The sequence below is a fragment of the Homo sapiens genome, chromosome 1 (assembly GCF_000001405.40).
Source record: "Homo sapiens chromosome 1, GRCh38.p14 Primary Assembly".
In the NCBI taxonomy this organism is placed as follows: Eukaryota; Metazoa; Chordata; class Mammalia; order Primates; family Hominidae; genus Homo; species Homo sapiens.
In genome coordinates this window covers 185,136,964-185,161,980 of record NC_000001.11, presented here as the reverse complement: position 1 = coordinate 185,161,980, position 25,017 = coordinate 185,136,964, and the positions used below count along the sequence as shown (strand labels likewise).

Below are 25,017 nucleotides of genomic sequence, written 5' to 3'. Positions count from 1 at the left end.
TGAAAAAGTCTTATGAACTAACCTGCCACCACAGAAATCACTTTTTTTGTGAATATTCACCTTTGCCAGATTAGTCTCTCATCTTGCACAGTAACACAGCATAAACACTCTCTAATACTGATGATCAACTACCCATACTATTCAGAGAGTATATAATGAAACTGATTACATGGTTTTTTTGTTTGTTTTGCAGTTTTGCTTCCTGGAGACAATACCCAGCTCAATTAATGAGATACCCTAAATTTCATCTACCAAAACACTACTTCTTTTTTTCTTTTTTGAGACAGGATCTCACTCTGTCAGCCAGACTGGAGTGCAGTGGTATGAACATAGCTCACTTCAGCCTTGGTCTCCGTGGCTCAAGTGATTCTCCTCCCACCTCAGCTTCCTGAGTAGCTGAGAACACAGGTGCACACCATCACGTCTGGCTTTTTTTTTTTGTAGAGACAGGGTCTCACCATGTTGCCTAGGCTGGTCTTAGACTCCTGGGTCAAGTGATCCTCCTGCCTCGGCCTCCCAAAGTGCCAAGATTATAGGTATGATTCACCACACTCAGCCCCAAAACACTTCTTAAGGTAGTGTCTGAGAGAACAGAGAAAGACATGGTAAGTATGTCTTCCCCAATATTAGCCTCAGCCACATAGCGCTGGCCATTCTGACTGATAAGAATGCAATCCTAGCCAACGTTGAGGAAATTGAAAAAGGAGAAAACATGGAAAATGGTTCAATGTTGAGTTATCGCTAAGAATGAGGGGATTTAAGGGGCTTAGAATTGAAGTCAGGAATACCTAAGCAAATTACTTACCTCTATAAAACTACTCTCTAAGCCTCAGTTTCTTCATCTGTGTAATTGGAATAATAGTACCCACCTCATACAGTTGTGAGGAATAAATAAAACAATGCAAGTAAAAAACCGGAAAAGCAAATGACTTTTCCTGGATCGGCTGAGCAGAACAAAATATTTACATAAATCATTATAATAGTAAGGTGTATTTTTTTCATTAAGCAAAAATAAATTGAAATGTATCTCTAGGTCAGTAAATCAAAATTCTTACTTTTTCACCAAAATTGGGTGATGAGGTGGTGGTGTCTTTCCTCTGAGATGTCTCTTTTTTCCCACAGGATTCTTTGCTGGACATCCTGAAAAGCTAACATAAACATTAAAAATATAGGATTTGTTTTTGCACTCAAAAAGAAAATAGAAATTTGTCTTCTTTCAGTTATATAAAGATTGGAGTTTTACAATATGATCACTTTTTATTTTATTTTATTTTTTTTTGAGATGGAGTCTCGCTCCATCGCTCAGGCTGGAGTGCAGTGGGATGATCTCAGCTCACTGCAACCTCTGCCTACCGGGTTCAAGCAATTCTCCTGCCTCAGCCTCCTGAGCAGCTGAGATTACAGGCATGTGCCACCATGCCCGGCTAATTTTTTGTATTTTTAGTAGAGACAGGGTTTCACCATGTTGGTCAGGCTGGTCTCGACCTCCTGACCTTGTTATCCACCCGCCTCCCAAAGTGCTGGGATTACAGGTGTGAGTGACCACTCCCAGCACTATGATTACTACTTTTTAACCATTCCCAATATGACAAGATTCTCTCATTATTCCACTTTTCTTCACTTTCATTCTCCTTCAAAATTACCCACTCCTCTCCTTCAGCTTCATCTATCACCTTTCCAGGAATGAGTCTCAAACCATGCCTTGATCCCTGACTTCTCACTTAAGCATCAGATCACCATTTTCAACTGCCTCCAGGACTGCTATATTCTTCACCACCCACACTTCAAAGCCAATTAGTCATAAGTTTCATTTTCCCAAAATACCTTCAGTCATTCATTGAACAAGACTTTGGCAAATCACATGCTTTTTTTAAGTCTTTGTGTCATTACTTGTAAAATAGATAACCCATCCCACAGGGTTTTTGAGGTACTGAAACAATGGATGTAAAATATATCTTGTGGCTGGGCACCACGGCTCACTGTAATCCCAATACTTTGGGAGGCCGAGACAGGCGGATCACCTGAGGTCAGGAGTTCAAGACCAGCATGGCCAACATCATGAAACCTCATCTCTACTAAAAATACAAAATTAACCAGGTGTGGTGGTGCATGCCTGTAATCCCAGCTACTCAGGAGGCTGAGGGAGGTGAATCGCTTGAACCTGGGAGGCAGAGGTTGTAGTGAGTAAGATTGTGCCACTGCACTCCAGCCTGGGTGACAAGTGCGAAACTCCATCTCAAAAATTTAAAAAAATATAAAAAAATATTAAAATACATATATATATGTACATATACATCTTGCATAGGTTGGTACACAGTAATGTCTACATACATACTTGCTTGTATGGTTGTCTTTCTACTAGACACTGAGCTCCTTGAGTGTGCCGTATTAAAAACTTAGGTGCTCATAAATGCCTACTGAGTGAATAAATGAGTGAATTCTTCTTCCTTGGAATATTAACTCTTTCATTCTGAACCACTTCCAATTCACTCACTGTAGTTCCTCTGTCCACCTCCCATCCCCGTCTCACTTTTCCAGCCCTGCTGTGGACCAAGTCAATACTGTTAGTGGATGACAGTATTGTGGACTATCCCAGAAAAACACTTATGTTTATGTTTATTCGGACAAATGTTGTATATTCATACTAGTGTGAAATTCCTATTGATTTTATGCAAATCAAAACATAAATGAGGGGAGACTTCATGTGCTGGCCAGTCTTCAAGATGGCTCCTGATGATTCCTGATGCTTGGTAATCATGCACTTAATGTAATCTGCTACCACAATGAATAAGGCTGACCTGTGTAATCAATAAGATATTACTGCTACATAGTGGTATGTGGCTAAATCATATAAGATATCATGACGTCTGCCTTGTTCTGTCTTGGACTGCTCACTCTAGGGAAAGTCAGAGTGTCATGAGGACACTCAAACAGCCCATGGAAAGGCTCGCAAGGGAAGAACTACTGGCATCTTGCCAACAACCAGAACCAACTAACAGCCAGGCATGTGAGTGTGTTACCTTTGAAGCTGATGATCCTGCACCCCTAATCAAGTGACATGACAGCAGCCCTGGCACATATCTTCACTGCAACCTCAGGAGACCCAAAGCCAGATCAACCCAGAAAGTCATTTCTGAGTTCCTGACCCACAGAAACTGTGGAGTAATAAATGTTTACTGTTGTTTTAAGCTACTATGTTTTGGTATAACTTATGCAGTAGCAATAGATGAATAACATTATTTAATTCTTCAAACATTGACGATTCCTTCTTCAGGATGTCTTACAAGCACAGACCATGCTTAGAAATTCTTACAAAAATTCCCACAGAATCCAGACACTAAAATCTGACCCTTTTAATCTGGTTTCCAGCTGGTGTTAAATGACATTAACATACTGAATCTAGCTTTCAGTTAACCATCTAGTCATTTAGAAATAAAAAATCATCATGAACGACAGTAAAAAAAAAAAAAAGAAATGAGAACAAGAATTATTGGATGATGCACAGATATAGTTAGCATTTCTGTAAGTTATAGTCAGTGTTATCCCATTTTTAATTGACTGTTGAGCCATGAGTCAACTACACATTCAGGAATACTAGATAAAAGCTGTACGGGACGATCAGTAAAAGGGATTTAGGACTATAACTCACAGAAGCTCCACAGGGATAATCTGTTCCCATTAAACTGGGGAGAGGTTAAACACACACACACACCCCTCCAGATATATACTTCTTAACTATAGGGGGAGGAGTTAATTTCCAGTTAGTGCTTCAAAGTGCCAAATAATCATGCTATCTCTTCCCCGGGGTTCTGAAACAAGTAGGAAACAAATAGACCAAGAAGATTGGCGTTTATCAACTTAATTAACTAAGAAAAGCTAACTGGAAGCGCGCGTCTTGTTCTTGAGACTAAATTGGGCTTCCCTCTCCTGCCCTGATGCCTAGAAGGTTCGGACCAAGCCCAAGCAGGGCAGCCAGAAAGTTCACGTTTTTCTCCTTTCTGTCCCAGTGGATTTATCGCGGGGGGACAGAAGAAAGAAACAAGAAAGGCTCGAATGTCAAGTAGGCACTAAGAGTGAAGGGGAGAGAAGTACGGGGGACAGGGGACTCGCTAGCATATGTTTTGGGGATCTGAAACGCATCAAAATTAAATGCCCCGAAGCTCTACCCACTCAGAGCTCTGGTTATTAAAAGCCTGAAAACAAAGCAAAATAGAGCAAAACAACTAATTTCTATCCACTGGCCACACCGCAGAACTGCTGATACTGGCAACATGAAGACTAAAGCAAAAATAAAAACAAAGGAAAAGAGTGTTCGGGTCACGGTGTAGGTGAGGGTGCGAAATGAAGAACAGACCCTAATTCCAAGTCAGCTGGATGGACAGGCAAGCTCGTCAGCTGCTAGTAAACCGCCGCGGGCCCGCGGGCTCCGCACGAACCGACCAGACCCCAACACCGGGCAAGGGGCAGCCCCGGAGGCAAGCCGGGCCAGAACCACACCCTCCACGGAGCTGGCTCGTCCCCGGACCCGCCCACAGAGTCGCCCCGCCCAGGTCCGTGTGACTCCTGAGTCCCCAGTCCGGCCGGCCGCCCGCCCGCCAGTATACTTGGGGCGGGGGACGAGGGGGAACCTGCCCAGCAAAACGTCAACGCACCCCGCAGTTCCTACCTTACCAGCGCCGGCGGCAGTGGCAACTCCGGAGCCCCAAGCCAAAGGAGAGGGACCCCCGCCTCCCAACACACACACACACCCCGCCCCACCAACTGTATGCCTGCTGGGAAACGTAGTTCTGCGCCCGCATCCGCACTACCTACTCACCGCCCCACAGCGCTCGCTTAGATTTGCATTTACTTCCTCCGAGGCTTGAACTCCGGCCCCGCCCCCAGACTGCGCAGTGTATCCTGGGTGCTGTAGTCTTTGTTCGGTTTGGTGGTTGGCCGGTGGGCCGGAGACGCACCGTAGAAACCGAACCCTCTTACCCAATTGGACGCCGTCCCCAGTACGCTTCTGCGCAGTTTGTGGTGGCGTCGTAACGCCTCGGGGAAAGGGAAGCGGACGGGCATCTGGAATCGCTGCCTCTGGCTTTCTGTTTTCTACTAACAGGATTTGGTCACTGGTTCTTCATCTTTTGTCTGTTGCACGCATCCCGCCCTCCCCACTTGCTTCCCCACTCCTTGGATCCAGCCCTGTGGGCATTCACGTCAGTTCTCTGACCCCGCCGTGAGCCCCGCTCCGGGTCCCCGGGCGGGCTTGGCACGGAGGCGGTAACTATGGAGAATATGGCGGAGGAGGAGCTGCTGCCCCTGGAGAAGGAGGAGGTGGAGGTGGCCCAGGTCCAGGTCCCGACCCCGGCCCGGGACTCGGCTGGGGTCCCAGCTCCGGCCCCGGATTCGGCTCTGGACTCGGCTCCGACTCCGGCCTCGGCTCCAGCCCCAGCCCCTGCCCTGGCCCAGGCTCCGGCCCTGTCCCCGTCCCTAGCCTCTGCCCCTGAGGAGGCTAAAAGCAGTAAGTGCAGAAGGCCCAGATCTTTCTGCTGCAGAAGAGAGAAAGTGCGCCTTGCTGGGAAGTAGGGGAGGCCCTTCACCGGGATGGTTTTTATGGGGCAAGGCAGGTTTAGGAAAATGGTGGGGAGGAAAGAGGGGCCCGTGTAGCGGCTAAAGCAGGGTTACAGAATGGGAGACGGCATCTTCATAAGCCTCGAGGATGTCACGGTGAGGGATATGCGGAGAGCAGGAATGCTGCAGATAGAAGGAAATAATGAGGTTAAGGGCTTTTTCTTAAAAGGGAGTCTTTTTAAGGTACAAAAATAGGAAGTTACACATAATTTGGTAGTTTCCCGCAGTCCAGTCTGCCATGGTTAACTAAGTTCTTTCAAATGTGACATAGTAACCGAGGCAACCTGTTTACGGTAGTAGATCCTAGCTGCCAACATTTCTAAACCATTACTGTCAACTAGCTTTTCTGCTTCGACAGCCACAAGGAGATGAGTTTTTCTCATTTCAGTTTTCTTTTCCCCCGCTAGCAGCTTGCCTCCGAAAAGATTTTGAGGCTGAGTAGTAGTTTAGGAAAGAGTCGACTAAATTTACGGATGTTTTCCCCCATACATAAATACCAATTGAGTTTTGTACTCCATTCCATCAGAAATAGACTGTTGAGAATTAATGGCCCATATTATTGTGCTTCTGAATGTGCCTGCATGTTTTCTAAGTGGTGGTTTATTGGACCATATAGGAATTTAAAAGACTGATGAGTAACACTTTCTTAAGGATCTTCTAACATTTTAAAATGTAAGGTCTAAGAAAGACATAATTTAAGTTCTTTTAACATTTAGTTTGTGGTCATAAGTTGACCTTTATGTGCTTTCTGAATTGGAACTTAAAATAATCTTTAATTCATTATTTTTTCTACTTCTAGGCCAGTTTTGAGTTTAATATTTATAAAAGGTTAGATAGTTATAGATAGGATTATTTTGCAGTTTTGAAACAACATACAAATTGTTATAGATTTCAGAGTAGGGCTAATCACAGGAAAGACAAAAGTCAGAATGCTTCAGGTAAGCCCCTTCTCATTATATAAGATCAGAGCTTGTAGGTACAAAATAAGGCCAGTTGTTTCTTCAACTACAGTGGGTAGGGATCGGGGAGGCATGGGGAGCTGAGAGGGTTCCACCCTCCTAAGTAGCCTCCTACCTCACTTCGAAGTTGTATTTGTTTATATTAGTCAGAAGTGGTTCAGCAGCTTTGGGAAATGCATGCATTCTCTACCTCCTCACCATCAAAAATATGTTAAACATAGAAAAGACTTATCTATATATTCCAAAATTTACAAATATGTAATTTGAAGAAGGTATACTATATGGGAAACTGAAAATGCATTAGTAGGACAAATATGTAATGATTGAGAAGTCTGAAATGCATTAGAACTAATACATATATTAATCACATTTTAAACATTATTTTTAGTTGATCTAGTTAGTCCTTTGAAATCAGTCATAACTAGGTAAGATGAAGATAGCCTATCTGAAATAGAATTGAAAATTGAGGAAAAAGTAATAGAATAAGTTGTAAAAGACCCTCCTAGCATCTTGGAGACATCTAATTTAACAAGAAGTTTGCCTGTTGACTTCTGGATTAATAGTGTGTTACAAAAAGCAGATTGAGTATTTTGCATACAGATTGTCTGATACGCACTATCTTAAACCAGAAGGTGATTTCAGAGATGTTTATAGGCATATCATGCATTTTTAAACAGATCTTCAAGAGTTTCTTCAGTAGTAGACCACAGGATTTTTAGTTTTCTAACTTAACCAAGCTCCTTTCTCTTATTTTGTGCTATTTAATAGAATAATTTCAATAGGCACGTCTTTATTGATTGCTGTTTATCTTGTTTTACATACACAGATCTTTGAACTCTGGAACCAAAAGCCTTTATGGTTACAAATTAGATAGGTTAGTTTGTACACATGGATTCATTTCTGGAATATTGCTGTCTGACCTAGCAAAAGATTTTTATGAAACATGAAGAAGTTTTACCTGTTTATAGAAATTATATCTCATTATAACTCATTTGACCAGTATCTGATATAGGAAATTAACCAATATTGTTTGTTGCTTCTTTAAAAATGAGGTGAATAACCAGGCACCAGCCTATACTCCCAGCTACTCAGGAGGCTGAGGCAGGAGGATTGCTTGAGCCCAGGAGTTTGAGGCTGCAGTGAGCTATGATTGAGCCACTACATTCCATGGAGGCTGGGTGACAGAGCAAGACCCATCTTTAAATAATAATAATATGAAAAATTACCTTTTAATAAATTTGAGCAGGAGTGTCTGATAGTGCTGAATTGGATTCCAAAATTATTGACACAGTGTGCTACTGCATCCAAAAAGTCTAACAATTTTTTTAACTTCTTGTTTAACAAACTTTAGTGCCTCCTATCTGCAAGCTACTGCATTAGGCACTTAGCCATCAGAAAGATGAACAAGAAATAGGCCTTGTCTTCTGTTGATTATTTGTGGGGAAAGCGAACAAGGACACAAATTATACAAATGGGTAAACGAACTGATAGTGAAGCTCGGAGAGGAGTAGTCAAGAAGGTGCTAATATCAAGAATTGAATTTTAAAGTCTCAAGGTTTTAAATTGTATAACCTAATAACATAATATTAGAGAGCCCTGTGGTTTATCCCACCATCTCCTGTCTCCTTGGGCTCTTTACATATCAGTTTCTCCTAATCTTAATATATATTCAGTCCCCACTTTGTAATTGTTCCTTTCTCTTGGAATGCACATATATTCAGGTTCCCCATACTTAAAAAAAAGCAAGTTACAGTCTGATTCATTTCCTTTTTTATACCGTCAAACTTCTCAAAAAAAGAAAAACCTAATTTTCTGTATTTCCTTTCCCCTTCCAATTCTGTTTCTACTCTGAAACACCTCCCTGAACCTGTTTTCTTAAAGGTCACCAGATGTGCTTTCTTGATCTCTACAACTGTTTGTGATATTCAGTGTTGAACGTTTTGCGTTTATAGACTCTTCTCCCTTGGCTTCTGCATTACCTTGATTCCCCTTACCATTTATTCTTTCTGAATCTACATTCCTGATTCCTTCTACTTAATTTTTCTTATAAATATCTACATCTCTCATACCTCACTACCAGATTATATCTATCTATAATAATCAGTAGCGGGTTCAGCAACAGGTAGGGAATGTATCCCCTACCCACCCCAGTCAGAACATGTTAAACTTATTTTAGACTTATTCATGTATTTCCAAATTTAATTTAATTTGAAGAGTGTGTAATGCTTGAGAAACCTGAAAATGCATTAGTGGGACAAATATGTAATGATTGAGAAATTTGAAATGCATTAGAATTAAAATATAAATCACATTTTAAAATTAATTTTACATAGCCTAGTTGGTTGTTTGAAATCAGTCATAACTAGGTAAGACTGGGTCTTGGCTTTTTCTCTTATTTTTCACACTTTTTTTCTTAGGCTTTCTTATTTATTCTCATAGTTTCACCTAATGTGTTACTTACGATTTGTATCTCTAGAATCCCTCCTGAGCTCCAAAAACAAATTGCCAGCTGCCTATTATACATTATTGCTGGAATACTGTACCAGTAGTACATCAAACACACCATGTCAAAAACTAAATTTTCCTTTCTCTTTTCCCCTTCCTTTCTGCCATAAGAGTTTCTTCTGTCTTGTTTGCTTAATATACCATTATTCTCAACCACATAAACTCAAAATCTTGGAATCATCTTTGATTTTATCCTTCACCTTTACTTCTCATATCCCAAGTTCTGTTGCTTATTTTTTTAACCTTCTATTCTGTCCCTTCCCATTGCTAATTTTCTCTGTTACTGATCTTTGGTATTACTGGCAGAGATAGCCTCCTGAAACTCATTCAGATCGTATAATTCACTTCCTCAAAAACCTGCAGAGACTTACCATTATTTGAAGAATAAAGTTCAAACTAACTTGCGTAGAATTTATGTTTTCCTTGGTCTGTACTGCATCTTCAGCTGCACATACTTCTACTGACTCCATCCCCCCAAACATACCACATTCCAGCCAAGGGTGGGGTGGCATGGTTGTATGTTTTCTACACATGGATTTGTTCATGAGGTTACTTCAGTTCATGAGGCCAGTTAGCAAATCTCTACTTAATAGTGTTCATTTCATCCTATCTCATATGATAGTTAGAAGTTGACATATTGCCTTCTCCCACCTGATTGAAAGTTCTTTGAAGATAGAAAACATGACTTAACGTTTCCTTCAGTATTTTGTATAGGACAGAAACATTTTTCATAGAATTATTTTGACTAATTAGATAAAATTTTAAAACTAAGTTTATACAGTGGGGTCTCCCCCCAACTTTTCATTCTAAAGCACACTTGTTATTTTATAAACCGAGTTGTGGCAGTATTCCCCATCTAGGTCCATAACACTGTGTTATAGGAAATAAACTTCTATACGATGTGATCAATAAAAATGGAACTAGAATACAAACTGTTAAAGCATAATCTTCTCAATTTTTTTTTTCAGAGAGACACATCTCAATTCAAAGGCAGCTTGCTGATCTAGAGAATTTAGCTTTTGTAACTGATGGAAATTTTGACTCTGCCAGCTCATTGAACTCAGATAATCTTGATGCAGGTATTTCCATGTTTGGGTTTTTTTTTTTTCTTAGTTTCTAATAATTTATCATCTTTCAATTCACAAAAATAAGTTTGGTAAGAGTAGACTTGTTTATTCTTACTGAACTAGAACAGTGGTAAAATACAGTTTTTTATTCAGGAAATTGGCAACCGCTTATGTGCAAAGTTGCTATGGAAATAAGTTATTTTACAACTCCTCAAGAAAATTATAATTTCACGGATGTCTAGGGGCTGTCTATTCGGCAAGTTAGGAATGGCATTTGGCTACAAGTAACAGAGGTCCCAAAAAACAGTGTCTTAAGAGGTTAATATTCTGTCAGGTAAATGAAGTCCCAAGATAGGCAATTTAGGGCTGGTATGAGAGTTCCACGTTATCAGTGCCCCACACTGCTCTCTTTCTGCTCTACTCTCCTTAGTGTTTGGTTTGTATCCTCAAGATCGCTGACTGCGTGGTTTTTTTGAAGTAGACAGTGTAAAAATAAAAATTGTACCTATACTCTATTGTACTGTATGTGAAAGATATTTGTTGGGTTAAAAATTATTAATATGAGCTGACAGGTATGTAGGTATAAGAGAAAAAAGAAAAAAATTACTAAATGAGTTATTAATGATTCTTGCTGTATATTTTATTGCTTTAAACCTGAATTTGAAATTTAATTCTTTCATCTATACTATCAAAGTTTTTATTTGAGATACATTATATTTCTAATTAAATAAGACATTTTTATGATACATAATCTTTTTGAGAATATGTTAATAAAGAAGGCAGAACTTGTAAATTCAGTAATGGATACGGTGGCTGTAACTATGCGCCCCGTCTCAGAACAGCGGTTATATCAAATCCCATCTATTCCTTCCACTTCCTTCTTCCATTTTTCTAACTCCACATGTTAACTGTTTTTGTTGTTGCCAGTTTAGTAGAGGAATACCACAGCACATACTTTTGCTCTTTGTCCAATCCCTGTCCTTTTGGGAGTGTAACTGCTGTCCTTTCAGCTGTCCAAAATACAGAGTGATGCTCTCAGTGGCAGAAAATTTGGCCGGAAGGATGTCATACAGTTTATCACTTCTTCAACCTTTGTTCCCAGTAACGACAAATGCATCCACTAGCTACAGAGAGGGAAATTTTAGGGTGAAAAAACAATCACTGATCATGTGCTGCAACAATTACTGTTAACTGTCTCCTGGGTCAAGAATAATGACTTCTCCCTAAAGTTAAGAAAGACTTTAAGAAGTAGGAGGGGGAGCCCCCATTAACCTCTTTGTAGTTGAATCCAGGCATTAATAACTAGAATATTCTGTTGTTTATTGATTCTTTTTTCTTTTTAAGGCAACAGACAGGCTTGTCCATTGTGCCCTAAGGAAAAATTCAGAGCTTGTAATAGCCATAAGCTTCGTCGTCACCTCCAGAATTTACACTGGAAAGTCTCAGTTGAATTTGAAGGTTAGTATTTTTGTGCTTGCAAAGAAGTAATATATATGAAATTCAACATTTATTACCAGTTTTGGCATTTTTATCATGAGTATAATCAAATATTTTCAGTTTAAAATGTGAGGGGTTTAATGCCCTCATTTCTAATGTATTTAATAAAACACCATATAGCTTTATAGGCAGTAGAGATCTATATGACACAGTTTAGTTGAGCAAACATTTATTATGCATCTGTTGTATACTGAGTACTCTGACCCTGGGAGTCCATTTTGCTTCTTGAACAATGTTTTAATAAGTTTTCCTTTTATTTTACACATATTTTGGAAGGTATAGTACATGTAGTAAAATAAGAAAATAAAATAATTTGTATGAATATTGGAAAATACAAGATAATATCTCTTTCTGCTGATGGCTTAAAAAAACTACTGGAGTTAAGAGAATTCAGAATGGTGGGATACAAGATAATTCAGAAATCATAGCCATTTTCTACTTCAGATAAATGGAAACAAACAAATATTTCAATTATAATCATGATAAAAATGACACAATTTGAGGGAATAAGTTCAACAAGAGGACTCATCATGAAAAGAATAAAATCGAAGGACAGAAAACAAGAACTTTTCAAGTTAAAGGGCTTCCTAAGTGAATTATATGAATTATTATAGCATTTTTGGGAAAATGCTATAATTTTCCCAACATCTGACAACATCTTTTAAAATTAAAAATACGCATATCCATCCACCATGCAGTTCCTCTCCTAGGAGTGCCTTAGAAGTAAAAGAATTGAGGTTGGACACAGTGGCTCATACCTGTAATCTCAGCACTTTGGGAAGCTGAGGCAGGAAGATCACTTGAGGCCATGAGTTCAAGACCAGCCTGAGCAACATAGTAAGACCCTGTCTCTATAAAAAAGTGAAAAAATTAGCCAGGCGAGGTGGCCTGTGCCTGTAGTTGCAACTGCTAGAGAGGCTCAGGTGGTAGGACTGCTTGAGTCCAGAAGCTTGAGGCTGCAGTGCCATAATTGTGCCACTGTATTCCAGCCTGGGCAACAGAGTGAGACTCTGTTTCTTAAAAAAAAAAAAAAAAGAGGAAGTAAAAGAATCAACAGGCACGGATAAATGTACAAGGATATTCATTGCAATATTTACTTAGTAACAAAAACTTGGAATTAAAAGAGATGATTGAATAAATTATGGTATATACATACCATGAAATATTATTATGTAGCCATTGAAATGAGTATATTAGATATATACCAGCTAACTTAGAAGTATTTCCATGGTCAACTACTAATGAAAACAGCAATTTATAGGGAAGATTTTATAATATTCCATTTGGATAAAACAAAAAGTCCCACCCTCAAAAGAAACCTAAGTATCAATCTTAAACATATATACATTTATATTTGTATATGATTATGTGAGCACAGAAATTGTAAAATATGGTTGGAGTGTCAACCAGCCTTGATAAAGCAGCTAGTAAGAGACATCCAGAAAAGAAGTCGGAACTATGCTGGAACTATTTTCTTAGTAGTACTACTAAAAAGATTATCATTAGTTATTTAGGGAAAGGGGAATTAGATGCTAATTTAAGGACCATCTTGTCTTTTAAGTTTAGTTCTATATAAGAATGTATGATAAACCATACTGACTTCTTAGGAAAATAAAGGTCTCATTTCAATTAAAAGGATCTCTCATATTCTTTACTTAGGTCATTGTTTAGCCTTTAGGTTTGGTCTCCCTCCAAGTTATTCTCTTTTCTTAAATATTTTCTTGTGATATTTCTTTACTTACTCATGGATGTGGTTCTCTCATGTACATTAGGCTATTGGGTTCTTTCACATGGTATTGCTCTGGTAGATGGTGAAGATATGATAGTTTTTGTCTCAGTGAGCAGGTTTCAAAGTAGTTGACGTAAAATTGAAGGTAGAAGCAACCAAATCTGCCGAAGGAATGGATGTGAGGTGTGAGAGAAAGAGCCAAGAATGCTTGGGTTTGGGACTTGAGCAAGTAGAGAAATGGAGTTGGCCTTTACTGAGCTGGAGAACAGTGCATTAGGACCAAGTGTGGGAAAGAAGGCCGGAACCAGAAATTTGGGCATTTAAAGGGTGAGATGCATCTAAGTGGAGATGTCAAGTAGCCCATAGGTTATATGAATCTGGAGTTCAGGAAGAATGTGGGGCTAAAGATATGCATTTGGGAGTTGTCAGAAGACACATGGTATTTAAAGCCATAAGATCAGATAAGTAACTAAAAGAATACATATTGATGGAAAAAAGAAGTCATCCAGGACTAAATCTTGGAGCACTTCAGCATATACAAGTAAGAAATGATCGAATCTAAGGTATAAGAAAAATGCATTAGAGATGACTTAACAGGCTTTGAGTTAAGAGCAACTGTAAGGCATTATCATTCAAAAAAAGTAAAGAGACCTAATGTAAGATAAATTACCAGTTTAGTCTTGACAAGTAGGTTTTGAGATGCTGACTAGATAATCAGTTACATATCCTTAATAGGCAATTAGAAATAGGAATCTGGCTCTTAGGAATGAATTAGTACCTAGAGCTTTAATTTGGGATTCCTTTAATTGGAATTGTGAAAGGAGCTAAGTTGCCAAGGAAATGAGAAAAAAAATCACTTAGCCACCCAAGCCTATGGAATTTCTACATTTTAGGGCATGAGAGAAGGAAGAGGATCTGTAAAGAAGATGAAGAAAGGTGGGAAGAAAACCAAGATAGTACCATGTCATAGATGAAGAAGGGTCTGTATAATGGCAAATATATCAATAGCATGAGGTAAAGGTGAAGCCTAAGAAAAAGTCAAGGTGGCAGAGAATAGGATAAAGCTGAATCCCAAAGATGCTAAATGACTAATCCAAGATAAAACAGATAGTCATGGCGGAACTAGAATTCAAACCTGGATCCCTCTGTATTTGTGTATATAGATAACATATACATATGTATATATGCATACACATATATCTCATGTATAATAATTGTATAAACTAAAGCAATCTCATTTGAGTAATTATGACATTACAAATGTAAGGGTAATACCAATTCTTATAAAATAAAACTTGCTTATAATTTTTGATAACTGAATATTTAATGAACAATGTATGATAACCAGCCATTCTTTATTTTAGGTTACAGGATGTGCATCTGTCACTTACCTTGTCGACCAGTGAAACCAAACATTATTGGAGAACAGGTGATCAGATATTAGATTTTTTTATTTTTAAATTTAGTCCTTTTTAAAGAAAGCATAATTTTTACTTACTGTGAAACTAAAATGTGTATGTTCAGCAGTGTGGTTTACTTTAAAATTCTCTGAGTCCTTTCAGATTATCATAATGGGAAAACTATGAAATGTATGAAAAAAAATAATTGTTATATTGAAGTTCTCATTTTACAGTTTTTAGTTTAAGTCAGATAAATTGCTCCTTTGTGTTCAAAATGAAAATTAACTCATTTACTAATTTTGAAATGGAAAATTTAGAGAGTAGTTTTTTCTCTTAAAATTTCGGTCATGGAATAGGAGCTTCAATTTCTGTGATTTAGTAAATATCTTAGTATGTTTTGATTTAATTCATCTTCCCCATGTCCTTCCTTTTGAGTTCAATCTTAGAGAATCAAGAAACTTTCAGAAATCTTAGTAACTTTTTAAAAAATACATGTGTTTTATTTTTAGGGTAGATTTGACCTAAGGGGAATACAAACTATAAAATTTTTTAGTGACACTATCCTGAATGCATATTGGCGTAATGAGTTCCCATTATTACATTTTCTTTTGAGCCACTAAAAGCAGTATAGTGTTGACAAAAAAGAAAATATTCTGTAAGTAGTAGTCAAAACAGTACCTGGTCCATCAGCCTAGTCTAAGATATTTTGAATATGATAATCACAGTACCACAAGGAACCTTGGGTAATGTGCTTCACTATTTTCTATTTGCTGTAAGGGTCCAAGTAAAAAGGAGGTAGCAGCACTAAGAGTAAAAGGCATCAAAACTAGGAAAGAGCCATTGGAGCAGTCTTTTGTTCTCAGCTAAATGAGAAATTATGAAGTGAAAATTTTTTTACTCGGATAAGTACGCTTCTAATTATGTCTCTAACATTCAGTGGGGTACTGGAGCTGGCTCAAATTTCCAGAAATCTTTCAAGCTGGTTGTTTAGTATGGCCTCCATTAAAAATTAAGTTATATAAACCTAAAAATGAATGAGTTATATTAAAAAACAAAGGTAATGAATGTTCACTTCATATCATTGTTCTCCTGTATTTTAATATTATCTGTGCACTTACAGTTATTTACATCTGTTATGTCTGCTGGGTGGCAGTGCTCTGTAATGGTGTAATAATGCACATCTTTTCCTAAATTCACATTCAGTGATGTTACATTGATAGCTTAAAATCTATGACAGTTGTAGCTTGAAATTGGCTATAGCAGAGTATTTATGCCACAGAAATCTGCAAATACTACAAATCAGGGCTTTATTTTCCTGGAGAGCCAGTTAATAAGCATTTACCAGCACACCACTCCTAACATTACACCATTTTTAAATGCAACCTATAGAAAATACAATTATTTTCTGATTGGAATGAATGAGAAAAGCTAGGAAATTAACCTTCTGGCCTATTGTAAAGTAAGTTTTAAAAGTATATGTAAATGCAGGTAAGGAAGTTAAGATACTTCAAAGTCACATGGCAAAATTAAAATTATCTTCTATACCATTAAATCCAAGACACTAATGTACTTAAATTTGCAAACATATACTTCTGTTTCATTGTCTTAGCAACTTATTTAAATTAAATACTCTGTTTGATAGATAACCAGTAAAATGGGAGCCCATTATCATTGTATCATTTGTTCAGCAACAATCACCAGAAGAACTGATATGCTAGGACATGTTAGGCGCCACATGAATAAAGGAGAGACTAAATCTAGTTATATTGCAGGTAAGTTGAGCAATCTCATTAACATATTAATATGTAAATCCTTAAATAATGGTCCAGTTATTATTTTCAGACATCAGGAATATAAAATAATGCTGATTTAACCAAATGATTTAGTTCACTAGTCCATTACTTCAGCTTTTGGTTTCTTTCTGTAAGGTCTCCAAAAACATTTTAACATTCTCAATGTATATATTTAATAAATGGTGTAGAAAAAAGTAAGTGACACTCAAGTGACTACAGGTATTTTAATGAAAGATTATAGAATTGTTTTCCCAGTGACAGCTTTTACACCCTTAACTGTCATGTATGTATTGTTGGAAAACACTAGAAAAAAAGATACAGTGAAATAAAGACTTATTATTCATAGTGATATGAAATTATTAATAGCTTGTTACTACTTAGAGATCCCTTCTCAAGAATTAAATCAAGCACTAATGGCCTAAAGCATGTATTATATGTAATGAATAACTTCTCTCCTCTGTGTCCAGAATGGCACTACGTACCATTCCTTTAAGAATTGAAAAAAAAAACAGTCACTGAACTATTTTTCTATGAAGCATAATTTTCTCACAGAGCCTAAGTTGAGAAAGTCTGACCTTGTGAGATATGCAACATGCCTCCTCACGGGTAGAAAAGGGTATGTAACACAGTGCTAGGGAAAGTTACTATTATTTTGCATTTTAGAAAGAAAGATACAGTTGCCATTTAGTTAACATTCCGACTGTAATGTTATCAAGAAATCCAAACATAAAGGATCTCATTTCTTAAATATTTAAAACATATGCACATATATACACATCAATATTTTATTAGTTTATAGCTAAATGATTCTAACATACTAAATGTAAAATCATTTTTTCATTACTTTGTAGCCATTTCAATGTAATTTGTGACTTGAAATCATTATGAGAAAATATTCTGAAGTCTCCCATGTTCAGGAAATAGAGTGATTCTTAGTAAGCCATGCTAGCTAATGGAATGCAGCCATATGGAGTTACTCATTTTCTAACAATTATACCATAGTGAAATATATTTAGCAAACAATGTAGTGTTTGATGAACCACAAAGGTATTTTAGGATTTTGTGCTTTCCTAGGGTGATTGTTCTTAGGTATCATAATACAGATGTATTGATGTGCTGGACAGTCAAGATAGTAAATTAACTTTCATTAATCAGATGTTTAACTGAGTGTTACTCTTTTGTAGAGAGTGCTGAATAAATCAGTTCTTTGGTTTTGGTTTGTTTACATCTGCCAAACCGTTTGCATTAACACAAAATAATATAAAGTTATTTTTCAAAATGTATATTTATTGTTTTAGATGTTTACAATTATTTTGTGTTTTCTTGGAAATCTTTTGTTTAGAATTATTTTGTGTTTCCCTGGAAATCTTTTCTTTTTTCCATCTTAGCTTCCACTGCTAAACCACCTAAGGAAATTTTGAAAGAGGCAGACACGGATGTACAAGTTTGTCCCAACTATTCTATACCTCAGAAAACAGATTCCTATTTTAACCCCAAAATGAAACTAAATCGGTAAGATAAATTGAAAATAGGGTTATGGGATGTTTCAAATTATTATAAGTGTACCTTCTCTTAACCTTTATGTTCTAATATATTAAAATTTAGAACTAGGTGCAGAATAAAAATCATCTGTTTTAACATTTTTCTCAGAAGAATTGTTTCTTTTTTTCTAACAAGCCGATGTCTTTATCAGAGAATAAGATAGGCGTAACTTTATATAATTACTGAACAAGCTGGTACTTCTGTGAGCAAGTTTTCTTTATAAATAAATAAATACTTGTTAATAGAACCCAACTGGATTCATAGTTTAATTTCACATATTTTTAGTTCTTATAGTATTAAATTCAGAATATGTTTTCAGGTCTCCTTTTGAAATAGTTTGTACAGTAACTAGGAACTTCAGTTCACTATTCTTAAATGAAATAAAATCTATGATGGTGAAGCCATGGTAAAGTTATTTCAGATTATGATTTCCTTCTAGGCAGCTAATATTCTGTACATTGGCTGCTTTGGCTGAGGAACGAAAACCTTTGGAATGTCTAGATGCTTTTGGAGCCACTGGTAAGTGAGGACACTTTTTTGGAACCCCATTTTATTTATTCAATTTTACAGTATTTTTTCTTAGAAAATATATATGGGCAGTGATGTAAAAAAATTAAAGATCCAAGGCAAAATTTTTAATTTTTTATTGTGAAAAATTTTAAATGTATATTAGAGTATAATAAGTGAGTCTCTGTGTATCCATCGCTTACTTCAAAAATGAGTGGTTCATGCTCAGTCGTTTTCTCATTGTCCTCATACCTCATATCCTAATCTTTTGATATCCATTAATTTGAAACAAATAACAGATACATCATTTCATCTGTAAGTATTTCAGTTGGATCTCTAAAAGGTAAAGATTTTTAAAAAATAAAACCACTATACTGTCATCATACTTTAAAAATAAAGAATAATTCTTTAATATCAATTGTTTGCCCAATTATCTCATAATATGTTTTAAAAATCAAATCAGAATGCAGACAAAAACTGTATTTCAGGTGTCTGGTATGTCTAAGTCTCTTTTAAATCTATGGGTCCTTCTATCATTTTCTGTGTGTGTGATAATTATTTGTTGACTTAACATGTCTTTTGACCCATAGAGTTTCCCGCAGTCTAGATTTTTGCTGATTGTATTGTTATGGCTCATAAAACATGTTCTTCTATCTCCTGTATTTTTGTAAATTGGTCATTTAATTAGATTCAGATACAATTTTTTTTTTTTTTTTTGCAATAATACTTGTTTGCTGCAATCAGGCAGCACCTGATGTCTGGTTGTGTCTCTTTTTTTGTGTTGTGATGATCATTGCCTAGCCTTTAGACAGTGGAATAAAGTGAAATTTTAAACATTGAGAATATTCTTCTCAAAAGACTTAATAGTAGAGAAAAGATAATAGAAACAGTAGAAAATTTCTAAAAAGCCTCCGTACCCAATCCAGGTCCTTCTTTATAAAGATTATAAGAGTACACTTTTGGGGAGTTTGTGCCAAAGGAGTGAAAGCATGAGTTAGCTCTCCTTCCTAAACTCCTCTCCTCAGGGAAAAGTAGTGGTTAAAAGCATGGACTGTGGAACCAGACTGCCTGAGTTCAAATCCCAGCTTTATCGCTTTGATAGTTGTATGACCACAGGAAATTGTGCCTCAATTTGCTCATCTATTAAAAGAGGAGACTACTGCTACTACCATGATGATCAGCATTAGTACCATCTCAGTATAAATATGGTAAAAGTGATGAGGTGATGCTTCTGATTATTTCCCAAGTCGCTTGGATTTGAAATTTGAATCATGTTATTACTCCTTCTTTTCCTGTTACTCTTCCCATATCTACTCAGCCACCAGGTCTGTTCTAATTTTTCTTTTCTAATATAACTCACATTTTCCATTCCATATCCACCAATTTAATGATTTCATAGCAAGCCTATTGCAGTAGCTTCTAAATAGTACCCTTGCTTCCAGTCATTTCTCTCCTCCAGTTTGTCTTGCCTGTTACTGCTAAACAGCTATTCCTCTGAAGCACCACATTAATGTTATTTATCAATCAAAAAAGTCATTCATCTTTATTGCCGGGAGTCCAGACTTCTCAGACTACATTTAATATCTTCCATATCTGATCCTAACCTGCTTGTCCAAATTTATTTCTCAGTATTCTTCACCATACACCGTTTTTCTTTACTCTTTTGAGACAGAGTTTCGCTCTGTCACCCAGGCTGGAGTACAGTGGTACCATCTCAGCTTGCTGCAACCTCCGCCTCCTGGGTTCAAGCAATTCTCTTGCCTCAACTTCCCAAGTAGCTGGGATGACAGGCGCCTACCACCACGCCTGGCTGATTTTTGTATTTTTAGTAGAGACAGGGCTTCGCCATGTTGGCCAAGCTGGTCTCGAACTCCTGACCTCAGGTGATCCACCCGCCCCAGCCTCCCAAAGTGCTGGGATTACATGTGTGAGCCACCGCGCCCAGCCTCTTAACTCTTTTTTAAATCTGAAGTCATTAAAGCTAATATCTAAGGAATATATTTCCAGCCTCTTCTTTTAATGTGCCTTTGTAAACTTAGATCAGGTCTGGAGCAGTCATTTTGCACATTTTGCCATTCCTAAAATGAGGATGTCAGAACTTACCTCACAAGCTTGTGAAAATATGAAAAATGCGTATATGTGAAGTCCATAACACATGGTATTTTTCCATTCATGAGACACGTGTATGGAGAAGATGGTCAGTATTTCCAGTACATAAGGGGTTTACTAATCTATGTTGGCTGGGCTTGTGTTGCCATCTCCCATTTTGTAATGAATGTCCCTTATGACTTTAAGCTAGTAGATATGGAAAAACTGTGAAAAGGGGCCCTTTTGGTCTGAATTCTTCCTCTAATCATTCGCTTTTTTGTTTTTGTTTTTGTTGTTTTTTTTTTTTTTTTGAGATAGGGTCTCGGCTTTGAGATGGGGTCTTGGCACCATCTCGACTCACTTCAGTCTGGACCTCTAGGAGGTGATCCTCCCACCTCAGCCTCCCAAAAGTAGCTGGGACCACAAGCATGCGCCACCATGCCCAGCTAATTTTTGTATTTTTCTGTAGAGATAGGGATTTGCTATGTTGCCCAAGCTGGTCTCAAACTCCTGGGCTCAAGTGATCCACCTGCCTCAGCCTCCCAAAGTGCAGAGATTACAGGTGTGAGCCATCTCACCTGGCCACAATTTTTTTTTTTTTAATTCACAACAATGCTATTGTGCAGTGTTTGAAAAGTGTTGGTCCAGAAAAGTTTTTCATATTTTGGTCCATGATGGTAAACTTCAGCAGGAGGTATTCCAACTTCCCATCCTCCCTTCAAGCAGAGTAATCCCATTTGTATAAAGTATTCCATGGTCAGAAAAAAAGCAAAAAAGAAAACATTTTCCACTATTCAACAAAATAAAAAGCATACATAGAGATTTTATTTGAACAAGGATCATAAAATAGGTTTAGAAGAAGTATTAGTTAAAATCTGTTAGACAGATTTTTAGTTATAACCTTTCTTGAGAAGCTTTGTAGTAAGAAGGAATAAGATTCATGAAAACATTAAATTTTGAAATAATTTGTTATTTATAAAACTGAATGTTGTTATACCATTTTTATTCTTTAAAATTATTACAATTATAAAACTCATTTTCTTCCCATTTTTCCTAAGGGATAATGGGATTACAGTGGGCAAAACATCTTGGAAATGCAGTCAAAGTTACAATCAATGACTTGAATGAAAATTCTGTGACACTGATTCAGGAAAACTGCCATTTAAACAAATTGAAAGTGGTGGTGGACAGTAAGGAAAAGGAAAAGAGTGATGATATTCTTGAAGAAGGAGAGAAAAATCTTGGTAATATTAAGGTGACCAAAATGGATGCCAATGTACTGATGCATTTGAGATCTTTTGATTTCATGTAAGTAGAAAAGACTTGCCGTGTCACTTTCTAAACTTATCTGAAATTTTGGGGACGAGGAGTAGTTAAAAATTAAGACAGTTTTTTGTTGTTTATTTATTTAAATTAATGCCATTTTTTGACATTGGCCTAAGGTATGCAGTATGAAAATTTTCTAGTATTTGAAATAAAATGCCTGGGCATGTGACTTTTCCTCTAACCCGAATTTATTTTTACATGTCTGATACATCATACTATCATTTTATTACTTAATTTCAAAACAGAATTATGTACTTAAAATATATTTGCAATGTATTTTTAAATCCATGGAATTTTATAATTAGAAATAATTACAGTGGTATAATTTTTGTTACTAATATGACTTTAAAATGTCTATATTCTTTCTGATTTTAGACATCTAGACCCTTTTGGAACATCAGTGAATTATCTAGATTCTGCATTCAGAAATATAAGAAACCTTGGCATAGTGTCAGTGACTTCTACAGATATCAGTTCTTTATATGCCAAGGCACAGCATGTTGCCCGGCGTCACTACGGATGTAACATTGTCCGAACTGAATATTACAAGGAACTAGCAGCCAGAATTGTTGTAGCTGCAGTGGCAAGGTACCAAATTGCCAACAGTGTACTTAGTGTGTTTCAGTATTTGATAAAAAGAGATAATATTACAAGAAGTACTTACCTTATTCAAAATATGCACAAAATATAAATTCTGTATTCCTTATCTGTAATACTGGTTTTTAATCTTACGTGGTATCTGTTGTAATTTTATTTAAAAGTTTATACCTGAAATATTCAGTTTACTCTCCAATTAAAATGTTACTGAAATAAAGTATAAGAAAGAAAAGGTAAAAGTGAAAGTTAATTTCCAGTTTATTTCAACAATGTAGGATAAAGGATAGCTATATGAAAGGAAAAGCAAAAACTGTTTTGTTTTGTTTTTTCACCATGTTGCCCAGGATGAAACAAGACTCCTGGCCAACATGGTGAAACCCCGTCTCTACTAAAAATACAAAAATTAGCTGGGCATGTTGGTACACACCTGTAATCACAGCTACGATTATAGGTTGAGGCACTAGAATCACTTGAACCCAGGAGCCACATGCTGCAGTGAGCCAAGGTTGCTCCACTGCACTCCAGCCTGGGCAACATAGTGAGACTCTGCCTCAGAAAGAAACAGTCATTTCTTTTATATCCATTCTGTTTTATCTTCTTTATTTATATAGTTTGAATAAAATGATGGCTTACAAACTTGATTCTGCAAAATGGTCTTACAAAATGGGAAGTTCTCTCCATTTCTCACCAGGATTTCCAAACAGAATTTGAAAACAGTTATTTTTTAAAAGGATGACTTTTTTTGAGCACTTACTATATGCAGATTATGCTAGAATAATATAATATAAACGGATATTGTGAATATAGATAATGGATAATCAGCCAGCTCACTTGCCAGCCCCAATACTAGTTTCAGAGCATTTAAGTAGAAATTTCTACCTCAGGATAAATACAGATTATTAGACTTCATAGACCTTCAGGGTTGTTTCTAATTACCTGAAAACTGATGTTTACTGTATGCATGCTAAGGACTTAACTGCACATACTTAAAAATGTCTATAATGTAATATCAGCAAATTCAGAGTAATATATATAAATTAAATGTAGTATATGACTGCAGAGTACATAAATGGTATATAGTAGAGCTTAATCCAAAAAGTCTGTGAAATTAATGGTGGAAAGGACTTTGACTGTTCTTTTTTCACTCAATTTTCAGTAGCTAGCATACTATCCTGCATATAGTCATTACTCAATAAATAGATACTGTTTGAAAGAAGCTTTTATAGGAAATAAAATAGATAAAAAGGAAGCAATGTGGTGGTGATGATAAGAAACAAAGTGAAAATGACTGAAAACCAGAAAATATTGCCCTATTGAGAGGATATCGCAAGGGAAAATGTCTAGAAACTGAAGACCCTCCCAAGCATCTTTTATTTCCTGTGTTTCAATTTCTGTAAAAGTTACAGTAATGATCTTTTAAAAGCACTGCTACTGAGAATTGAATTTTTCTTGATGTCCCATAACTTATCCATAGTATACTGTCCAGGTTAATATTGTCAGTATAATGCCAAACAAGGGAAAATGATAAGCCCACAAAATAACTTGAAAAAATTTATTGTAGAGCTGCAGCCCGATGCAACAAAGGCATAGAAGTACTGTTTGCAGTGGCTCTGGAACATTTTGTGTTGGTAGTTGTGAGAGTTTTGAGGGGACCTACTTCAGCAGATGAAACAGCCAAGAAGATTCAATACCTGATCCATTGTCAGTGGTGTGAAGAGAGAATTTTTCAGAAGGATGGTAATATGGTAGAAGGTAAATTCAAGTTATATATTATGTTTATCTATAATCCTCCACTGAATAAGCCTTTATCACATACCTAATTATACATATTGTTGTCCTTTGATTTTAAAGATTACAGTGCTAACTTTGTTATTTCCTATACTGGATTTCCTTTCGTCAACAGACAAGACATTCGTGTGAGTTTATTAAAGTTATTTACTCATGCTGTACAATATATGCTTTCTAGCTCTGCCTTCTATCGAAACATCTAGAAATAACTTAGTTTCCACTCTCAACTAATTTTAGGAACATAAGTCAGATTACGTTTTTTCCAGGCTGTTACAAATCATTAATTTTATAAAAATAATTTTCATGTTTCTGGCTGTGTATAAAAGCCATCAGTTATAAAATGCATTCAATAAACATTTATTGAGCCTCTACTATATGCCAGGCCTGGGGATGGGAAACAAGGAAAAAGCTGTAGTTTATGCCTTCATAAAGCTCTTTCTGTTTGTTTCAGTTCTGGGACATGGAAACAGTTGCTTATTGTTTTCTGTTAGGTTCTTGGTATTTTATGAATTTTTGAGTTTAGCACTTACTATGTTAAGTTGCAGATTTTTTTCTCATTTTGTCACTTTTTTTTTAATCTGTGTTGCAGAAGTTTTTTGTTGCTAA

At 36.6% G+C, this 25,017-nt stretch overlaps 2 protein-coding genes across 18 annotated transcripts in view, besides 4 other annotated features; one reads left to right on the top strand and one right to left on the bottom strand.

Moving 5' to 3' along the window:
- SWT1 (SWT1 RNA endoribonuclease homolog) overlaps positions 1-4,921 on the bottom strand; it is a 134,722-nt gene extending 129,801 nt beyond the window's left edge. For 5 of the 14 annotated variants that reach the window (XM_005245271.3, NM_001105518.2, XM_047423246.1 and 2 more), the window contains exons 1-2: positions 4,817-4,921; positions 1,056-1,148 (exon numbers count right to left, since the gene is read on the bottom strand). In XM_005245271.3, coding sequence (XP_005245328.1) covers positions 1,056-1,139 — 84 coding nt within the window. In that variant the 5' untranslated portion in view covers positions 1,140-1,148; positions 4,817-4,921. The other 9 variants (XM_005245273.2, XM_017001527.2, XM_047423249.1 and 6 more) reach the window with 5 other exon arrangements.
- Positions 4,422-4,541: a silencer, noted in NCBI's record as "silent region_1645". NCBI's record gives its function as "represses an Ori minimal core promoter by ATAC-STARR-seq in GM12878 lymphoblastoid cells {active_cell/tissue: GM12878}" and the evidence as "EXISTENCE:reporter gene assay evidence [ECO:0000049][PMID:35858748]".
- Positions 4,444-25,017, top strand: part of TRMT1L (tRNA methyltransferase 1L) — a 39,437-nt gene continuing 18,863 nt past the window's right edge. Inside the window, exons 1-10 of one of the 4 annotated variants that reach the window (XM_047431291.1) lie at positions 4,444-4,550; positions 10,046-10,156; positions 11,489-11,602; positions 14,735-14,799; positions 16,413-16,542; positions 17,952-18,075; positions 18,545-18,624; positions 21,759-22,008; positions 22,402-22,614; positions 24,185-24,375. In XM_047431291.1, coding sequence (XP_047287247.1) covers positions 14,743-14,799; positions 16,413-16,542; positions 17,952-18,075; positions 18,545-18,624; positions 21,759-22,008; positions 22,402-22,614; positions 24,185-24,375 — 1,045 coding nt within the window. In that variant the 5' untranslated portion in view covers positions 4,444-4,550; positions 10,046-10,156; positions 11,489-11,602; positions 14,735-14,742. The other 3 variants (NM_001202423.2, NM_030934.5, XM_047431292.1) reach the window with 3 other exon arrangements.
- Positions 5,035-5,940: an enhancer, noted in NCBI's record as "H3K27ac hESC enhancer chr1:185125173-185126078 (GRCh37/hg19 assembly coordinates)". NCBI's record gives its function as "activates a minimal SCP1, AML or CMV promoter by ChIP-STARR-seq in primed H9 embryonic stem cells {active_cell/tissue: H9 hESC(primed)}" and the evidence as "EXISTENCE:reporter gene assay evidence [ECO:0000049][PMID:30033119]".
- Positions 5,082-5,191: an enhancer, noted in NCBI's record as "active region_2241". NCBI's record gives its function as "activates an Ori minimal core promoter by ATAC-STARR-seq in GM12878 lymphoblastoid cells {active_cell/tissue: GM12878}" and the evidence as "EXISTENCE:reporter gene assay evidence [ECO:0000049][PMID:35858748]".
- Positions 5,282-5,531: a silencer, noted in NCBI's record as "silent region_1644". NCBI's record gives its function as "represses an Ori minimal core promoter by ATAC-STARR-seq in GM12878 lymphoblastoid cells {active_cell/tissue: GM12878}" and the evidence as "EXISTENCE:reporter gene assay evidence [ECO:0000049][PMID:35858748]".